The sequence below is a fragment of the Homo sapiens genome, chromosome 13 (assembly GCF_000001405.40).
Source record: "Homo sapiens chromosome 13, GRCh38.p14 Primary Assembly".
Classification (NCBI taxonomy): domain Eukaryota; kingdom Metazoa; phylum Chordata; class Mammalia; order Primates; family Hominidae; genus Homo; species Homo sapiens.
The window spans coordinates 99911638-99932465 of record NC_000013.11 but is presented as its reverse complement, the minus strand read 5'-3'; the positions used below and the strand labels follow the sequence as shown (position 1 = coordinate 99932465).

The 20828-nt window shown below is 47.0% G+C and overlaps 1 long non-coding RNA gene across 1 annotated transcript in view, besides 3 other annotated features; it reads left to right on the top strand.

Annotated features, from left to right (window-relative positions):
- CLYBL-AS3 (CLYBL antisense RNA 3) overlaps nucleotides 1-20828 on the top strand; it is a 216296-nt gene that overhangs the window by 24700 nt on the left and 170768 nt on the right. The gene's annotated exons all lie outside the window — the stretch shown is intronic.
- Nucleotides 1245-1745: an enhancer, noted in NCBI's record as "H3K4me1 hESC enhancer chr13:100582975-100583475 (GRCh37/hg19 assembly coordinates)". NCBI's record gives its function as "activates a minimal SCP1, AML or CMV promoter by ChIP-STARR-seq in naive H9 embryonic stem cells {active_cell/tissue: H9 hESC(naive)}" and the evidence as "EXISTENCE:reporter gene assay evidence [ECO:0000049][PMID:30033119]".
- Nucleotides 18096-18595: an enhancer, noted in NCBI's record as "H3K4me1 hESC enhancer chr13:100566125-100566624 (GRCh37/hg19 assembly coordinates)". NCBI's record gives its function as "activates a minimal SCP1, AML or CMV promoter by ChIP-STARR-seq in naive H9 embryonic stem cells {active_cell/tissue: H9 hESC(naive)}" and the evidence as "EXISTENCE:reporter gene assay evidence [ECO:0000049][PMID:30033119]".
- Nucleotides 18596-19097: an enhancer, noted in NCBI's record as "H3K4me1 hESC enhancer chr13:100565623-100566124 (GRCh37/hg19 assembly coordinates)". NCBI's record gives its function as "activates a minimal SCP1, AML or CMV promoter by ChIP-STARR-seq in naive H9 embryonic stem cells {active_cell/tissue: H9 hESC(naive)}" and the evidence as "EXISTENCE:reporter gene assay evidence [ECO:0000049][PMID:30033119]".

Here is a 20828-nt window from a genome sequence, read left to right as displayed (position 1 = left end):
AATACTACTCAAAGACATATATCTCACAGAACATCCAAATCTTTTATTTTTATTATTATTATTTTTAAATTTAAGAGACAGGGTCAGGCCAGGCACGGTGGCTCACGCTTGTAATCCCAGCACTTTGGGAGGCTGAGGCAGGTGGATTACCTGTGGTCGGGAGTTTGAGACCAGCCTGACCAACATGGAGAAACCCCGTCTTTACTAAAAAATACAAAATTAGTCGGGCGTGGTGGTGCATGCCTGTAATCCCAGCTACTCAGGAGGCTGAGGCAGGAGAATCGCTTGAACCTGGGAGGCGGAGGTTGCGGTGAGCCGAGATCATGCCATTGCACTCCAGCCTGGGCAACAAGAGTGAAACTCTGTCTCAAAAAAAAAAAAAAAAAAAGAGACAGGGTCTCACTGTGTTGTCCAGGCTGGAGTGCAGTGTGTATTCACAAGCATGATCCCACTACTGATCAGAGTGGGATTTTGGACTTGCTCCGATTCCGACCTGGCCGGTTCATCACCCCTCCTTAGGCAACCTGGTGGTCCTCGTCTCCCAGGAGGTCACCCTATTGATGCTAACTGAGTATGGACACCGCAAATGTTTTTTTATTCCGGAATACTTGATTTATCTCATGTCTATCCAGTGGTCTGAAAGTGCCCTGGGTTTGACAAGTTCCCTGAGAGGGGTGTTACTGCCTTTCATACACAGGTCAGGCAAAGTATGAGTGATGCCTCGCTGGGGATGGGAGAGTAAGAGTTAGTAGAAAAACACAAGCACCTGGACCGTGTCTGCCACAGAGAAAAACAATGCCCCTCCCCCAGTACACGTGGAGAGTACGCCGCCCAAACACACCTGTGCGATTCTCGGGGCATGAGAGGCCTGCGGGATCTCCTGCTGGATTGAATTCCTCATCCTAAGAAGCGGCTCATCCAAGCTAATCAACAAAAGATGGAGGATTCTGGCGAGCAGGAAGGAAATACTGAGTGACAGCCTAGAGGCGTTTTCCAGATTCTGCAGAATCAGGCTCGTATTGCTTATTATTGTCTGTATGGTTCTGGCCAATTCCTAGACTAGCGACGATGAAAGGCCTCTTTTCCCAAATAAATTGCGCCAGGAAATAGAAATCAGCCCACAACAAACGGTCTTGGGGAAGAGGCCTCCTAGGTCTGGTTGAAAGAGGCGTCGTCTCTGCCTTATTTGGGGGTTGTCAGGTGGCAAGTTGCCATTTTTCTTTTCTCATGGTGTGTGTATGTGTGTCTGTGTGTGTCTTTGTGTCTATGTGTGTGTCTTTGTGTGTGTCTCTGTGTTTTATGTATATGTACCTGTGTACGTCTGTGTGTGTCTGTGTGTTTGTGTGTGTGTTTGTGTAGGTGTGTGTGTGTCTGTGTGTTTATATGTGTGTCTTTGTGTGTGTCTCTGTGTTTTATGTGTATGAGTCTGTGTGTGTCTCTGTGTGTGTGTGTCTGTGTGTGTGGATGCGTGTGCTGATTTTTCTTCCCCAAGATGTCTTGTTTTCTCCCATGGATGGGTGGTTCTGACGGCCTTGCTGGCAGTGGCAACATCCTGGCTGCCCAGTGTTCCTTCTCTGGTGACATGTTTTTGCCCAGGTGTGTCGCTGGGCTTCTGCCCAAAGGATAAGGGTCTGCTTGTCTTGGTCATCCCCGTCACTGTTTCCTGAGCTGGGAGCCGTGTTCGTCTTTCTGCTGGTGGGCTCTTATTCATGTGGACTGGTGAGATTTTTCTGGACCCCACACCCGGACAGCAGACCTTGGCTTCGTTCCCAAGAAGGCCTCCTCCTCCTTCCCTGGGCCACCGCCTTCCTAGCAAGCTTCCGGTTTAGCTCCCATTCCTGCTGCAGCTCCTGCACGCACCCCTGTCTCAGCAGGCCCTTTCCCTCCAGTGCACCTCTAAGCCTCAGAACTTTTGTTTTCTCTTTTTGGTTCTTCTGTTTGTGGCATAAAGTTGGGACCTGGGCAGACGCATGAAAGTTTTCCAGTGACCACAAAGTGATGCCTGCCTTCTCTGCTTGGTACTTCCTGTGCCTGCCCAAGAGACAATCAATAATAAATCAGTGAGATGTGTTTCAATAATTCTCTTGCTTGAAGTTCTGGAAGGCAGCTCTCAGGAAGGTAGGAGGAAACAGCAGCCCTTAGAATTTCTTCTGGCCTGTTGTCTTCAAACAGCTTGGTGTTGACTGGTGTCTATAAATAGTCAATGGGGTTAGGGGGATCGGAAGAGGAAGCTGAAGGGCAAGCTAGAGACTCTGGGTTTAGTGTGCTCCTAGTTACCCCAGTGCAGTGCAGGATTTGAAATCTCCCTGGGTATAGGGCTGCCAGAGCAGGTGAGGAGTGGCAGCGGTGGAGACTGAGCTGGTGTGGACCAGGGCCCTGGAAAGAAGGCGAGCTCTGAGGTTTGCTGGCACACTCTGGCACGGAGAATGCCATGCTGCATGTCTGCATTCTTTTTGTCATTAAGAAAAAAATGCGGGCTGGGGGTGGTGGCCCAGGCCTGTAATCCCAGCACTTTGGGAGTGGAGGCAGGCAGATCATTTGAGCCCAGGAGTTCGAGACCAGCCTGGGCAACATAGCGGAGACCTTGTCTCTACAAAAAATATAAAAGTTGACTGGGCACGGTGGCTCACGCCTATAATCCCAGCACTTTGGGAGGCCGAGGTGAGCAGATTACCTGAGGTCAGGAGTTCGAGACAAGCCTGACCAACATGGTGAAACCCCATCTCTACTAAAAATACAAAAATTAGCCGGGCATGGTGGCACACACCTGTAATCCCAGCTACTCGGGAGGCTGAGGCAGGAGAATTGTTTGAGCCTAGGAGACGGAGGTTGCAGTGAGCCGAGATCATGCCACTGCACTCCAGCCTGGCCGACAGAATAAGACTCTCTCTCAAAAAATAAAAATAAAATAAAATAAAAAAGTTAGTTGTGGTCTCCTGCTGGCCAGACCCAGTGGGTCTCGTTATCACATTGCTTATAAAGTACCCCATCCATGACTCACTGGTTGATGTACTGGTTTACATGGCTGGAGTGAATAAGCCATTTCTCCCTGTCCTGTGAAAGGAGGAGGCTAGGTGGGGGTTGTGATAGGCAGACTTTAGGTGTCCAAATGGAACTGAAACTCATCAGTGGGTGCAGTTCACAAGTGGAGTTCACTGTTGTGGGGGATGAGTGCACCTCGTATTTGATGTAGCATATGATACCTGTTAGTTGTTCCAAGTGAATATTTCACAACATCCAGTCCAGCTTGTTCTTGGGATGAAATATCCCAAACATGGTGGCTGAAGATGCATGCATAGTGCATGGCGATGCTGTATAGTTCAGGCAAATGACGTGGGGACATGGGCTTACTAGTGTTCCGCATTAAGGCCGAGTGTGTGGTGGCTCACGCCTGTAATCCCAGCACTTTGGGAGGACGAGGCAGGTGGATCACCTGAGGTCAGGAGTTCGAGACCAGCCTGGGCAACGTGGCAAAATCCCGTCTCTACTGAAAATACAAAAATCCACTGACTGTAGTGGCGAGTGCCTGTAGTCCCAGCTACTTGGGACGCTGAGGCACAAGAATGGCTTGAACCTGGGAGGCAGAGGTTGTAGTGAGCTGAGATTGAGTCATTGCACTCCAGCCTGGGCGACAGAGTGAGACTCTGTCTCCAAAAAAAAAAAAAGTGTTCTGCATTAGGTAGGGCAGTGTTCCCTAAGATCTGATTCAGAACACAAAATCTGGTGGGGGCTGGGTACGGTGGCTCAATCCTCTAATCCCAGCAATTTGGGAAGCTAAGGCAGGAGGATCCCTTGAGGCCAGGAGTTTGAGATCAGCCTGGCAACATAGGGAGACCCTGTTTCTCAAAAGAAAAAGAAAAAAAAATTAGCTCCAGCCTGTGTGAGAGCTATCTCAAAAAAAAAAAAAAATAATAAAATGAGTCTGGTGAGGTCCTGGCACCTGGAAGCCCTAGATGGTTCTCTAACTCACCTTGTGTCACAGGTACCTGTATTCTGATGCAGGTGGCCACAGTCATGGGGGGCTTGGTGAGAGTCTGTTTTGAGGCAGTAGGTGTCATCAAGTTTTGTTTTTTAAAAATTTATTTTTGACAAAAATTATATATATTCATCATGTACAGCACAATGTTCTGAAATACGTATACACTGAGGAATGGTTAAATTGGCTAATACATAGTCATCAGTTTTTGTGGTGAGGACACTTGAAATCTACTCTCGTAGTGATTTTTAGGGCTGCGGTGGTTGCTGTTGACTATGGACACTGTGCTCTTCAGCACAGCACTTGGACTTATTCCTCCTGTCCTTTGTTTTGATTCCACACTGTTTTAGGAGCTAGGTTTGCTATCGCAATGTGAATTCTGTGTTACCTGTCTGCACAATGGACAAACGAAAAGTTCATTTCCTTCTATTTAAAATGTACTATTAGGCTGGGCACGGTGGCTCACACCTGTAATCCCAGCACTTTGGGAGGCTGAGGTGGGCGGATCACTTGAGGTCAGGAGTTCGAGACCAGCATGGCAGGACATGGCAAAACCCCGTCTCAGCTAAAAATACAAAAATAAGCTGGGAGTGGTGGCACGTGCCTGTAGTCCCACCTACTTCAGAGGCTGAGGCAGGAGAATCTGGGAGGTGGAGGTTGCAGTGAGCTGAGATGGCGCCACTGTACTCCAGCTTGGGCGACAGAGCAAGATCCTGTCTCAAAAATAAATAAATAAATAAATAAAATGTACTTCTATTGGGCTGGGTGTGGTGGCTCACACCTGTAATCCTAGCACTTTGGGAGGCTGAGGCGGGAGGATTGCTTGAGCCTAGGAGTTCAAAACCAGCCTGGGCAACATAGTGAAACTCCATCTCTACCAAAAATACAAAAAATTAGCTGGGCATGGTGACATACACCTGTGGTACCAGCTACTTGGGAGGCTGGGGTAGCTGGGGTGGGAGGATCACTTGAGCCAAGGAGGCTGAGGCTGCAGTGAGCCATGATCATGCCACTGCACTCCAGCCTGGGTGACAGAGTGAGACCCCATTTTATTTTATTTTATCAAAAAAATAAAATAAACTGTACTATTATTGGCCAGACATGGTGGTTTATGCCTGTAATCTCAGCGCTTTGGGAGGATGAGGTGGGAGGATTGCTTGAGCTCAAGAGTTGGAGGCTGCAGTGAACTACCATCATGCCACTGCACTCCACTCTGGGTGACAGAGTGAGACTCCATCTCTACAAAAAAAATACTATTATGATTAATACCTATCATTAATTGTTTATGCCAGGCTTTATACATACATGTGCTATATACAATCGTCCATTCATTCCTGAAACAGCCTCATCAGTTAGGAGTCTTGTTTTTGCCCCCATTTTGCAGAAATGGAAACAGAGGCTTAGTTACGTAGCTTGGCCATAGCATAAGTGGCGGAGCTGGGCTCTGGACACAGTTCTGTCTGAATCCAAAGCCTATGCTCCTGACTGCAAATGAGACTGCCTCTCCCTTCAAGTCTTTGGTTTGAATGATTTATTTTTTTCACATCCAGTATGGTCTCAAAACAATCATCTCCTTACACCTCTTCCTGCCGCTCCCTGAACACCTGCCTGGCTCCTCTTCTGCTTAGAATTAATGATGGTGGCTGGCTGGGATGATATGCGGGTGGCCTCCCATGGTGAGCTCGTGGGGGCTCCCCACTTCAAACCAAATGGTGAGATAAGCCCATTGGGGTATCATTTCCTCACCGGTCCAAAAGGAATTCAGTTGTTTCTGCTTGTCAAATGCTCTGTGCTTCCTCGTCCAGCCCGCGTGAGTCACTGGGCTGTGTCAGTACGAGAATGGATGTCTTGTGTCCAACAGCCGCCAAGCTGCAAACACATGCCCAGCACAAGGCAGAGACGCGGGCTGTGCGGGGACCCAGCGGAAAACAGACCCCCACAGTGATGCCCAGGCCCAGAGACCACAGAGAAGACGCCAGGGAAGAAACCATTTTTCATATCCAGAAGCCTTCTGCCCCAATTCAGCCCCCATCCTGGAAACGCGGCAGAACACATTTTGTGTGCAGTGAGCTGACAAGCCCTATAAAACATTTCCACTCTTCCCCACTCGGAACACAGCCCATCTGTCCAACAGTGTCTGAAATAACACCGGATGGCCGGCAAAAGGGTATCCATTGTCACAGGCGTATTGGTACCGCAGGTAGTCCACACGGGCCCCCGTAATTCAAGCCGAAACAGCCTCTTCACCGACAGGGAGGCGGGGAGTGAAAGTGGCGGTTGTGATTCCAACAACGGGGAGGGTTGTTTTTCTAAGAATTTCTGCCAGTGGCCATTGAGTACTTTTTGTGCACCTACAGGAGACCTTGAAATTTAGGCAGCTATCAAATTCCAAATTAAACACCTGCGTGCTGCCTGCTCGCCGGTGAGGCAGCTGGGTCACACCGATCTGTGTTTGGGAAAGACCGGAGTTGGATTGTACTTGCTGCTTTCCTCTAACTAGCTTTCCTAACAAGCTTTCCTAAGATCACAAATTAGATGCTGGGGTTTCAGGCTAACAGGCCGATGAAGCTGTTGTTGAAAACTCAGAAATAATCAGCTTTGAGCCTGTAGCCTTGGAATTTCCTAGAGTGGGCTATTATGATCTGGTCATGTGGGGACTTGTTATTTCTATACAGATTGGGACTTCTAGTTTGCATCTCGTCTTCTGCAATCTCTTTTTCAGGAGTGAGCACTAGCCAGAGTATAGCAAACATTTTCTCTTTTCTCCTAAATATGCATGTTAGCATCAGTGGGGGCAAGCATTAAGATGATCCCGTCAGGATTTAAGTTTATGAATGATTTCTCATGGTGTGGGACCCTAGCTGAACATGGGCCATGAAAGAGAATGCTCGTTTCATATCCTGAATTGGCCCCTTCCTGGCTTTGGGACCTTGGGCAAATTACTGAGTCTCCAAGCCTCGGGTTTTTCATCTGTAAAATGGGATGATGGTAACAATAAGAACTAGTTTGTTGGATTGTTGTGAGAATTAAATGAGGTTCAGTACTGTGCCTAACCCATAATAAGCACTGAACACATGTCTAGGGCATTATCGGAGGATGAAGATGGAAATTGTGTTTGAGTGTCTCATAAGGTCTACTCCTGGGCTTTAGGGGCTGGAGTTGGAGCACGAGCACAGGCCACAGAGGCAGAAGCCCAGGCCACTGCGAGGTCTGTGGGGAAGGCTGAGGTTTCAACCCTCCAGAGATGGGCAACAGCCCCAGCTGGGATGGCCAGAATCATGGGGCAGAGAGGCCCACTCCATGCTAGAGGCAGGCAGGGCACCTGGAGGGCTGTGGGTGGGGTGTCAGGCCCCAGATGATTGCTCTGGGAGGGCACATGGACAGTCAAATTGGGTTTAGGGCTGCAAAGAAGGGGTATTGATGTTTAAAAATTTTTTTTACAGTGATAAAATATTTGCAACAGGCCAGGCATGGTGGTTTACACCTGTAACCCTAGCATTTTGAGAGACTGAGGTGGGAGGATCGCTTGAGTCCAGGAGTTCGAGATCAGCCTGGGCAACATAGTGAGACCTTATCTCTAAAATAAATAAAAAAAATTAGCCAAGCATGGTGGTGCATGCCTGTGGTCTCAGCTACTTGGGAGGCCGAGGTGGGAGGATCACCTGAGCCCAGGAGGTCAAGGCTGCAGTGAGCCACTCAAAAAAAAAAAAAAAAAAAAAGAAAAAAAAAAAGCATAACATAAAAATCACCAGTTTAGAACAGGTGTGGTGGCTCATACCTGTAATCCCAGCACTTTGGGAGGCCGAAGCAGGTGACTTGCTTGACTCCAGGAGTTTGAGACCAGCCTGAGCAACATAGTGAAATGCCATCTCTATAAAAAAATAGAAAAATTAGCCAGGCATGATAGTGTGTACCTGTAGTCCTAGCTACTTTGGAGGCTGAGGCAGGAGGATCACCTGAGCCTGGAAGTTGAGGCTGCAGTGAGCTGAGATCATACCACTGCAGTTCAGCCTGGGCGACAAAGTGAGACTGTTTCAAAACAAACCAACCAACCCCAAACAAAACCCAGTTTAACCATTTTTAAGAGTACAGTTCATTGCCATTGCGTACATTCACACTGTTGAGCAACCATCCTCACTATCTGTTTCCAGAAGTTTTTTATGATCCCAAACTGAAGCTCTGTTCCCTTTAAACAACAACTGCCATTCATTCTTCCTCCAGCTCCTGGCAGCCACGATCTTACTTTCTGTCTCTATGAATCTGCCTACTATAGTTACCTCATATAACTCGAATCATACAGTCTCTGTCCTTTTGTGCCTGGCTTGCTTCCCATAGCATCATGTCTTCAATCAAGGCTCATCTGTGTTGTAGTGTGCATCAGAACTTCCTTCCTTTTTAAGGCTGTATAATATTCCATTGTATGTGTATACCACATTTTGTTTCTCCATCCATCAATAGACACCTGGGTTGCTTCTACCTTTTGGCTACTGTGAATAATGTTGCTATGAACGTGGGTGTACAGATATCTGTTTGAGTCCCTGCTTTCGGTTATTTTGAGTATATTCTCAGAGGTAGAATTGCTAGATTATATGGTAATTCTATGTTTAATTTTTTGAGGAGCTGCCATACTATTCTCCAAAGCAGCTGCAGCTTTTTTTTTTTTTTTTTTTTTTTGAGACACGGGTCTTGTTATGTTGCCTGGGCTGGTCTTGAACTCCTGGCTTCAAGTGATCCTCCCACCCTGGCCTCCTAAAGTGCTGGGAATACAGGCATGAGCCACTGTGTGCCTAGCTGCACCATTTTACATTCTGGCCAGTAGTGCACAAAGGTTCCAATTTCTCCACATCCTTGCCAACACTTATTTTTCATTTTTCTGAAAATAGCCACCCGAATGGGTGCGAAGTGGTAACTTATTGAGGGAGGCTGGCTGTAAGGGCATCATTAAAGAGTCCATCTCTAAACAAAAGACACCAGTCTGAATAATTGTCCCTCTGTTAAGGAACTCATACTTCGAGTGTGTAGGACCAAGTGGTCGCTCGCTAGATTCTTCACTCTGTTGGGTGGGCCCTATTTGAAGACAGGTGGTAACCTTGGCAATGGGATTGCATGGGCACCAAAATGTCCATCTGGCCCCAAAGGTGGTCGTTCCCAGGTTGGCATGTTGCCTGACATCCTCAGCAGGAAGATTACCTGTTAACACGGAAACAAGTTACCTGGGAGGAGAGACACGACACATGAGTGTGAGCACAGTGGCTGCTGCCGCCTGGCACGGAGCCTGGGACGGCGGTACAGGGCGTGCATATTTGGGAAAGGCGGGGAGATCGGAAGCTGCAGACCTTGCTCTGGCAGCAGAGACCAGGCAGGCCGGGGCAGAAGGGAAGGCCCCAGACGGCCTGGGTATGGGTTGTTCAGGACCAACACCTGTGTGCCTGAAGCACCAGCTGCAACAGGGGGAAACATCCCCCACTCCCTCTCCGATCCCCATGTGGCTTCCCCATACCTTTGCACGACTTCCACTCACTCCAGTGACATCTTCAGCATTGCCTCCTCCCATCTGCCCACTTTCCACCCTCTCCCAGCACGCCCACGCTCTTCTTCACTCCTGGCTTCCTCCCTGATGTTGGGTATCAATGGCCTGTATTTCCCACCATACACGTCTTTGTTAGAAAATCCAAAGGCTTGATTCATCCTTGTTGGAAATGGCAAGTAGCTCGAGGCTAAATGTGCTAAATGGGATTTAGAGAGCAAAACAAGGATTCTGGAGAACCCAAGCTTCTGTTCATTCAACATTCTCTACAAGGACGACCAGGAGTGGCAGTGGATGGGGAGTGACAGAGACGCTCACTGCCACTCTCAAGGTGTTTGCTCTATAGCCAGGGATTCAAATATAGAAGCCAATGAGTGCGGACAGTTCACGGGTTCTGTAAGCGAAGGCTGCACGGGGTCCAGTGGGAGCACAAAGCAGTGGCTGGGGAGGGTGGTCAGGGAAGGCTTCAAAGAGGAGGTGACACGCAGCTTACTCAACCAAGGAACAACATGACATCACTGGGGTTCGGGTCCTGCCAGAGTCTAGGAACCCACCATACCATTCAATACACAATTATTTCTCAACTTCGTTTTCCTGCGCTGCATTTATGTTTGAAGAGGAAAATCTGTTGGCTAATGAAGAGCCATCAGCAGGGGTTCCTGCAGACCTCCGTTCTGCCGAGTCTCCCGCCATATCTGTCATTTTCCATGTGTCCCTGTGGCTTTTTCCTCATGGGATTGTTGGGGGATTTATTTGCAAATTGATGGTTATGAAGCTTGGAAAATCCAGTGTTGGAAAATGTTTTAGGTTAGTGTCAAGTAGGAAACACTTCTTATTTACTTAGAGATGGCCAAACAGGCCAGGTGCAGTGGCTCATGCCTGTAATCCCAACACTTTGGGAGGCCGAGGTGGGTGGATCACCTGAGCTCAGGAGTTCAAGACCAGCCTGGCCAACATGGTGAAACTCTGTCTCTACTGAAAATACAAAATTAGCCAGGCGTGGTGGCGGGCACCTGTAATCACAGCTCCTCAGGAGGCTGAGTCAGGAGAATGGCTTGAACCCGAGAGGTGGAGGTTGCAGTGAGCCGAGATTGCACCACTGCACTCCAGCCTGGGCGACAAAGGGAAACTCCATCTCAAAAACAAGCAAACAAACAAACAACAACAACAACAAAACTCATGAGTAAAAAGTAAAACTTTTAAACTCAAGTAAACGAAAGATACCAAAGGAGAAGGAAACTTAACACTGTGGACAAACTTTTGCCATTAAAATTATAGGAAATGAAAACAAACATCACCAGCATCTCAATGCGAATGGTTTCCATTGACAAAATAAGGAATATTGTTAACTGTTAGTATTATTAATACATAATTTTTCAGGTCCTTGAAAAATTGGGGTCTGGATATCCAAATCAAGTGAAAACAGTATGATATTTATTATATATGACTCGAATAAGACATTGGTTTCGAGGTGTGGTTATAGAAGTGTTTATTTTCATCCTGCAAATCTCTACTGTATATATATATATGTGTATATATATATGTGTGTATATATATGTGTGTGTGTGTGTATATATATATATATATATATTTTTTTTTTTTTTTCCCCAAACGTTTTCCTCTCTCCCTTGAAAGTTGGTACATGCTTAAGGTTAGGAATAATAATAGTAAAATATGCTATTATAATGGCTGCAGACAGGAGCTCAGCCTTTCATCTTCTTTCAACTTGGCAAATATTTGAAAAACAAGATTGGGGGGAGGGGGGAGGGGGGAGGGATAGCATTTGGAGGTACACCTAATGTTAAATGACGAGTTACTGGGTGCAGCACACCAACATGGCACATGTATACATATGTAACTAACCTGCACGTTGTGCACATGTACCCTAAAACTTAAAGTATAATAATAAAAAAAAAGAAAAACAAGGTTAAAGCCGGGCGTGGTGGCTCACGCCTGTAATCCCAGCACTTTGGGAGGCCGAGGTGGGCGGATCATGAGGTCAAGGAGATCGAGGCCATCCTGGCTAACACGGTGAAACCCCATCTCTACTAAAAAAAAATACCAAAAAAAAAAAAAAATTAGCCGGGCACGGTGGCGGGCGCCTGTAGTCCCAGCTACTTGGGAGGCTGAGGCAGGAGAATGGCATGAACCCAGGAGGCGGAGCCTGCAGTGAGCCGAGATGGCACCACTGCACTCCAGCCCGGGCTACAGAGCGAGACTCCGTCTCAAAAAAAACGAAACAAAACAAAAAAAACAACAAAAAATGATTTTAAAAAATTTGCGACTTGTAAATCCACACATTATTTTGTTGTTCTGAAAAGAAAATTTAACATTTTATATTTTTAAAATTTGGGGGATCCTATCATATCGTTTTTTGTAACTCCAGATATTAGCTTAAAAATAGGTTTCAACATGAGTGATTTTCAGGTATTTATTCAAACATTTCCTCCTACTTCAAAAATACATAAAAACGTGATATGACTGCTTTCTTAAAGGATTTACCGAGATTATATCCTTTGAGTAAAGTGATCCTGAACTCAGTCTGGTTGTCAGTTTCATTAGGAAGGAAGTCGCTCATCTTGGTCTAAATATTCTCCAATGCCCCGTAACGCGGACATTGCTTTCAAGGAGCCATGCTTTCAAGGAGCGCCCAGATGGAAGACCTTTCTAACGACAGTTGGAAATATTCTAAGAAAAATTAATGCTATTTTAGAGTTACTAGTGGTAGGTTTTAAGATAAAACGTCTTTGTGGGCTTGTAATTTTTCCTGGGTAGCAAAGTGAAATTCGCAAACCTTGGGGCTCTCTTCTCATCCTTCTCAACCTCACATTTCTTATTTCACATGGCCTTCTGTCTAGTAACACTATACTTACACATTTAAGAACCATGCATTTAGGCTGGGCATGGTGGCTCACGCCTGTAATCCCAGCACTTTGGGAGGCTAAGGCAGGTGGATCACGAGGTCAGGAGTTCGAGACCAGCCTGGCCAACATGGTGAAATCCCATCTCTACTAAAAATACAAAAAATTAGCCAGGCGTGGTGGTGCACACCTGTAGTCCCATCTACTCAGGAGGCTGAAGCAGGAGAATCGCTTGAACCTGGTAGGCAGAGGTTGCAGTGAGCCGAGATCGCACCACTGTACTCCAGCCTGGGCGACAGACAGAGCGAGACTCTGTCTCAAAAAAAAAAAAAAAAAGAAAAAGAAACATGCGCTTATAGTTCCTCATGGCTGAGCAGCAACCTCGTTCTCTTGGAAGTGAGATATTTTTGAAAGGAAGTATTGACTAGAAAGTGAGGGGTCAGGGCTGTGTCTAGGATCAGGTTGTTCAGACAGGAAGGAAGGAAGAAAGTTTTGATGCTATTTAGAAACCTGACTTTGACATTTTGGGCTATCAGCTTGGTTTACTGGAAAAATGAAGAAAGACAGTTTTTTCTCACAAAATTGTGATGTGGGTTAGAAGAATACTGAAGAATTCAGTGATTGAGCCTTTGATATGGACAGTTGAAGTGCAGGAGACAGTTGCCAACATTTTGTTGAAGTCATTCATATACATATCTGAATCATAAATTAATTCTAAATGAGTGACATGCTTTTTAGCTTGCCAGAATTATGGAATTGCTGAGAGCAGAATGCTGTAACCTGAGCATCTGGTGATCAGACTAACCCTGGGTGGCCTGTTTGGTCACGGAACATGAGGACTCTGTGTGTTTGGAGGTTGGGCAGGGTCTGGAAGGTGACAGTATTTTGGGGGTGCTCTATTAGTCAGGAAGTCATGGGAATTTGCCTGCCCCGTTTGTCATATTTGGTTTTTGTTTGTTTGTTTTTGAGACGGAGTCTCGCTCTGTCGCCCAGGCTGGAGTGCAGTGGCACAATGTTGGCTCACTGCAACCTCCACCTCCCAGGTTCAAGTGATTCTCCTGACTCAGCCTCCCAAGTAGCTGGGATTTCAGGCACCACCACCATGCATGGCTAATTTTTGTATTTTTAGTAGAGACAGAGTTTTGCCATGTTGGCCAGGCTGGTCTTGAACTCCTGACCTCAGGTGATCTGCCCACCTCTGCCTCCCAAAGTGCTGAGATTACAGGCTTGAGCCACCATGTCCAGCTGGTTTGTCATATTTGTGTTTGAATTTGGCTCTACGTGGATTCTGCGTAAGATTTAAGTGTCTTAGTTGGAAAAAGCCTCTGCATAAATGTGCACTGAGGAATATTTGTAACAAAGCTGGGAGCCAAGTAGGGAACTGGCATAGAGATTCTTCTAGACACATAGGCAAAGGATAGCTACCACAGAAAACGGGCAGATATGTGGGATTAGAGTGAGAGGGGTAATTTAGGCGATGAAATGAGCTGGTCTCTTGTACCACTATATGGCAGGTGAGGCAGATCCCCAAGATGAGGGTAGCGGTGCTTCTAGGAAGGGGAGACCACCACACCCCTGCCCTTTCTTGACAAAGTATACCAAGTGCAGATTACACTAGAGGGAGCCAGGCCGATGCCAAGCTTCCCGCTGGATGATGAAGGCCGTGGAGATGAGGAAGAGACACAGAGAACGAAGATGCCAGAGGGGTTAGAAGTGAGGAGTTTACTGTAGTGGGGCACACAGAGAAAATAATATTTGATGGCAACTGGGCGGCTCTTGGCAAGAGATGACCAGCTTGGAAGTCCCTGCCATTCCTGACCCAAGGGCTGTAGGGATCAGCAGCTCAGGCACACACCTGTAACCCATCCTGCACACTGACTGGGAAGTTCTGGTCTAGTCAACGTCAGAAATACATAGTGAAAAGCCAGGGTCGTGGAGCCCTTTGAGAATCTGATGGAAGTTATGGGCCTTCTCCCCAGAAAGCCCACAAATGTGACACACACATACAATTGTGCTCACTGTTTCAAGGGATTTATGAAAATGCTCATCTACTTCTTTAATTTATTTTTATTTTGAGACAGAGTCTCACTCTGTCACTCAGGCTGGAGTGCAGTGGTGTAATCTTGGCTCACTGCAACCTCCACCTCCCAGGTTCAAGTGATTCTCATGCCTCAGCCTCCCGAGTAGCTAGGATTGCAGGTACACACCTGCAATGCCATCATGCCTGGCTAATTTTTATATTTTTAGTAGAGATGGAGTTTCACCATGTTGACCAGGCTGGTCTTGAACCCCTGGCCTTAAGTGACCTGCCCGCTTCAGCCTCCCAAAGTGCTGGGATTACAGATATGAGCCACTATGCCTGGCCAAAATGCTCATCTAATTTTGGATCTTATGATAAGAACCTTGGTTGGAGATTATTAAAGAAAGGGTGTTGATGAAGAAATGAAGGCCAATTCACTTGAATAAATTCAGCAACTAGGATTTAAAAAGTCCATCTAAAGAAGGAGAGAATCACAGACTCTTAGGGCATTCAAAGGCTCCATAAACCTCTGGCTTTGGAAGTGGTTCAAATGCTAGGGATACCAAGCAGAAAATATCCAGGTCAGGTCATTAGATCCAAACAATCGAGCACATTGCAATGGTTGAGCAGATCGCTCGGCTCCGTGTTGGCTACTTTTTAAAGGTCCTGATGTTAACTTGGTCAGGATAATAATTTGGTAAATAGTCAATGGCACAAGTTTTATTTCTGTATCCCTCCTTCCAAACATTTTTCCCCGGGAGGGACCCTTCTCTAGTTTTCTCGGTATGCATGGCGGAATGGGGAGCGTGTGGTGAGGTGTGCTCTTGCACGGACTTCCAAGATTGACAGTGGCTGCCTGGGTACCTATTGTCTCAAGGACTCTGCCACCCAGTGCATAATCAGTTCTAAGCCACTCATCTTCACTTGCCCATATGCCCCCTGGAAGCACCCGTATTGCTGAAATGACATGTATCGAAAACAACGAGACAGTCAGGGCTCAACGCCTTACCAACTATTTGTGAACCAAAATAATAACCAGATCTCAAAAGACTAAATGGTGGGCGAGGGATGGAGCGTCAGTACTACCTTAGAAAATATGTGACTTGTGTTAGTTGAATCTCAGGTCTGACATCATGTGAAAGTGCTTTCTTTGCAAAATACAGCCTGGGGGGAAATTTTGCCAGTGTCTTGCTCTGGTGAGTTAATATGCATTTAACCAGTTTTATAACAGATTATTTACCAACGGGAACAGAATGCTTTGGCACGGGATGCCTTTGAGAGAGCTATTCTATTGCTCTGGCTAATTCCATATTTCAAAATAATTTCCACATACTCCTGGTGGATGTAGGTTCTCTCAAACTCTTCCCTCTACTGGTGAAATGGGAGAACTGGCAAGTAGGTGAGATTATGTTGCCCTCTGGTGTCTGCCAACCCAAAAGAAAGAACTAGAACTTAGGAAGGCGATGAGATGTAGAAGGAAGGTAGAAGGTGCTCCCCATCGGGAGAAAGATAAAGATGGAGAGGTTGGGGGATGAAGAGGGAGGAAGGGAATGAGCTTGGTGTCCTCTGCCCGTTGGACCTTCTTCTCTTGGGTGAGTGACAGGATTCCAACTACTCTTCCTGTCTGAGGAGGAAAGTGACACCTCCAGGGCTATTTGCCTGATGAGTCTGGGGCCTCTGTGATTTGTGATGGAGAAGTAGGCTCATCGGGGGGGTGGGACCTGGCCATTCTCTGCAGGGAACCGCTGGGGAAATGAGCTGGGTGATGGCCACCCATAGTCCCATCCTTCAGGTTTGGCTGAATAGGAGAATGTCCCTGGGACTGGGAGTGGGAGGGAAATAGCCCTTGTCCTTGGGGGAAACTCTTGGCAGTTATGACATTATTAAAAGTACAGGGATGGTGAAGGGGAATTCGCTGGTTGTCCACTGCAGGGGTCTTCACACCTGGTAGCAGTGGCCATTTTAGACTGTGGCCCTTTGGAGCTCTCTCAAGAACATCATGCCAGGAGGGCAGCCCCAGAGAGCATGATGGAGAGGGGGAATTTCTTCCCCCACAGGGAACTGAGTCCAGCCCTCCACCCTCAGAATGGCAGCTACTGCCTGAGGACCCACCTGTGTCTAGGATGGAGACCAGGATTTTCATTCTCCTTAGGGAAACCCACCAATAACCTCAAATGTACTTCTCATGGCCTAGCCTGGGGCACCCGGCTCCTCCCCTCTGGGCCCGTGTCTGGGCTTTGCCATGTTTGCCAGGCACCCGGGGGAGCAGGGTGTGGTGAGCCCAGCCAGCCTGTTATTACATCTTGTATCATCTTCTGATGTGCCTATCCTGTCATTGACTTTTGATGCCCTACACGAGAGCAGGCATTACATTTTCTTGCCACAAACTATGGCAAGTCTGTGGAAATTGTTGATAATTTTTCTTACAGAAAGACCATTGGCTGGGCATGGTGGCTCACACCTGTAATCCCAGCACTTTGGGACGCCAAGGCAGGCAGATCACCTGAGGTCAGGAGTTTGAGACCAGCCTGGCCAACATGGTGAAACCCCATCTCTACTAAAAATACAAAAATTAGCTGGGCGTGGTGGTGCACGCCTGTAATCCCAGCTACTTGGGAGCCTGTGGCGGGAGAATCGCTTGAACTCGGAAGGCAGAGGTTGCAGGGAGCCAAGATTGCACCATTGTACTCCAGCCTAGGGGTCAAGAGAGAAACTCTGTCTCAAAAAAAAAAAAAAAAAAAAGGGAAAAGAAACAAAAAATTGATGACTATTCATAGAAACTGATGGCAGCTAGGAGTAAAAAGGTGGGCAAATTTGGGCAGAGACACAGGGAGGCAGAGCGCTCCATCTTTGGTCAGGGTTAGTGGAGACCATGGAGCCATGGGAGGAAATCCTTTGGGTGCCTGAGCCCTGTGGGGCTGGGGAGGGGACCTGGTTACCCTGGTTTCCTGGAAGGAGGCTGTGGGGAGGCACAGGACGGGAGTGAAGCTGGGAAAAGGAAGCACCTTCAGCAGCAAGTTTCTTTTGTAGATTATCTTGGGTTTTTCAAATCCTAGTTCAAAAGCCAGTAAAGAGCCATGAGTGTTGGCATGTTTCTGTAGTCCCAGCTACTCGGGAGGCTGAGGAGGGAGGATCACTTAAGCCCAGGTGTTGGAGGCCACTCTGATTGTGCCACTGCACTCCATCCTGGGCAATAGAGGGAGACCCTGCCTTAAAACAAGAACAACCACACACACACACACAAAACCAAAAAACCCAAAGCCAGTAAAGCTGGGATTTCTTTTCTTACTTCCTTTTTTTTTTTTTTTTTTTTTGACAGAGTCTCGCTCTGTTGCCCAGGCTGGAGTGCAGTGGCGAGATCTCGGCTCACTGAAACCTCCGCCTCCCAGGTTCAAGCGATTCTCCTGCCTCACCCTCCCAAGTAGCTGGGATTACAGGTGCCCACCATGCCCAGCTAACTTTTGTTTTTTTAGTAGAGGTGGGGTTTCACCATGTTGGCCAGGCTGGTCTCAAACTCCTTACCTCAAGCGATCTGCCCGCCTTGGCCTTGCAAAGTCTGCTGAAATTACAGGCATGAGCCACTGTGCCCGGCCAAAACTGGGATTTCTGATGTAATCCCCAGGCTGACAGAACTCTTGAGTGAAAGGGGGATAATGGTCTAGCACTTAGCTCCCAGTAAATTCAAAGTATAGTTATTGAATGAATGAATGAATGGAATATTGCAATTGATTTTGTTATTGGTTTTTGACTAGAGGGTATGTATATGGATGGTAAGTAAGAAGAGAAAATGGGAAAACCGATTTTGTTTTAAAAAACTGTATGACCACGTAGGAAACATAGGTTCAGATTATAGTTGTGGAAACTCTGCAAGACTAGGAGATGTAAAAGAAGGTTAGAGTGAGGAAAGAAAGCCAGCAGAATAATTTTCAAAGATAGCTAATTCATGGATCTGTAAATTATTTTATTTAATCTTCATGCAACTGAAACAGAAGCAGGCATAATAATTTTGCAGGCAAGGCAGTACACAGGGGGTCGGGCCAGCACCTCCACCAGGCACTTGCTGATTCCCTCCTTGGTATTTTCCCTACAGGTGAAACCAGCTTAGGCTAGTGACTATGAATGTCCGGCGTTGACTTTTAGGGAAAACACGCTGCAGAAGGACATCCTGCACCCTCCGTGGGGTGGCGGGGGGGGTATGATTCCCCCCATTTGCTGAGGTGCCCGCCAGCTGGGCGATGCCTTTGAACTTCTGGGCTTTGAGTGCCCACGCACCCGGCCACAAGCCACCTTCCCCAGCACTTGCTCCCTCTGAGGAAGCGGCATCTACTCTAGCACGGGCTTTGCCTGTAACCTTTAGTGCTGTTTTCTAGAAAAGGATTTGGTGAGGTTCGTTGTATTCAGACTGGGTTGTTCTTTTAGAAATTGGTCTGTGCTGTCTTCATTTTATTTGCCAAAATATGAGCTACAACGCTACGGACTGATCATTTTACTAAATCTTTCTCCTTCTCCCACTCCTGTCTGTCTTTGTAAGTCAAAGCTATTTTGCATTACGTGAGCAACAAAATGATTTACAAAATGAGAGACAGGGACAATCTATTCTAACGGTTAGATGGCAATAACAAATATTTACACGAGCCTGGCTGATGCTGACTTTTGGAGAGCGCGCGCTCCAACTGAAAGCTGAAAGCTGGGGAACTGAGCCATGGGAGGCCAGCCTCTGGTGTTCTGCTGGACAGCCTCTTGGGCCAAAAATAATCTTCTTTGTTTTTTTGTTTTAGAGTCTGTATCTGTAAAAAGAAGCTAATAGCTTGGACCCCTCTGTCAGTAATGCTGTGCAGAGTTCCCAGTTGACTTTCATAAGCCTAAGCCTCAGAGCTGGGGCTTGGAGGTTGGTGGGAAGGGGTGAAGGTTTGCGGGGAAGGCAAGTGAGTCCCTCTAAGGAGCTGCTGAGGGTGTCCTGGGCCCGGGGTCCTGGGGAATTTGAACTCCTGCTAGGCCTCATTTTTTCCTTTATCTCCTTTCCTCTCTCAAATAATAATGTCCTTGTGAAGAAAAAATATTTATCTTATTTTATTTAATTTTTTATAAAGACAGGGTTCTTACTATGTTACCCAGGCTGGACTCAAACTCCTGGGCTCAAGCAATCTTCCTGCCTCAGCCTCCAAAGTAGCTGGAACTACAGGTGCATGCCACCTCGCTCAGCTACAAATATTTTTAAAATTAAAAACTGGGCTGCGCATGGTGGCTCACGCCCGCAATCCCAGCAATTTGGGAGGCCAAGGCAGGAGGAACGCTTGAGTCCAGGAGTTGCAGAGCAGCCTGAGCAACATAGCAAGACCCTGTCTCTGTAAAAATACAAAAAATTAGCCAGGCATAGTGGCGTACTCCAGTCTGGGCGACAGAGTGAGACCCTGTATTTTTTTTTTTTTTTAAATTAAAAACCAGCAGACTTTGATATATGCTTCTTGAATTCTCCTGCTGGGTCTCCCACCTTGCAGGATCCTCCTGCAGCCCAGTGTTGGGGTGTAGGAGACGTAAGAGCTGTTGGGGTCAGACTATAAACCTGCTTACTCCAGCTGATGGATCAGTAGCGGAGCTTTGCTCTGTAATATTTGTATGGAAGATGCAATGTTTGCACAATGAAGCCCACCAGATTTTCAAGTGGAGGGAGTGAAGCCAGTTTACAATCAATGATAACAGCTTTCCCTGGCTGCCATTACCCCAAATAGTATCTTATTTCAGCAAAATGGTGGCAACCAGCAGGAGGTCCGACAATGCAGATTTTAATCAGAAAGTTTAATTTGATATACAATTCACAGTTTGTGCACGGTGAGAAATGTTTCTCACTGCATGAACTTTCAGGACTCAGCTCTGAGCAAAAGGAGTTTCAATTTATGTAACACCTTTCTCAGCAGACAATACCCCAAAGCACTTCCTGGTAAGAGATGGCTTGCATTGCTGGGAAGCCACCGCAGAAGCCTTTCTTAAAATTACCCAGGATATTTATTTGGAGCAATTAAAAGAAGCGGCTGCATTTCACACAAATCCGTTTTTAATGTAGACATTAAATTGGCTGAGATTTCAATGCAGAGTCTCCTGGTCTCCAAGAACGCAGCTGCACCGTGCTCTTTTTTGCATAGATTTGCTCCCTTGTAAGGCAAACTTTCCACCTGGGCTCATTTTGTTTTCCCAGTTGGCTTGTAAACTCTCGGAAGAGAACCCTATAATGGAAATGTTGACAGCGCCTTTTACACGTAGGGCGCTGGGCTGCAGTTGTTGAATGGCAGGCTGGGCCGAGGAAGAGTGGCTGGGTGTGATGTTTGCCTCAGCGACTCTTGACCAACAGATAAGAGTCAATCCTACACCAGCTCACGTGGGGAGGAGAGGAGGCTCTCGCGGCTGTCCTGGGGATGACCGTCCCGGGGATGACCGTCCCCAGGATGA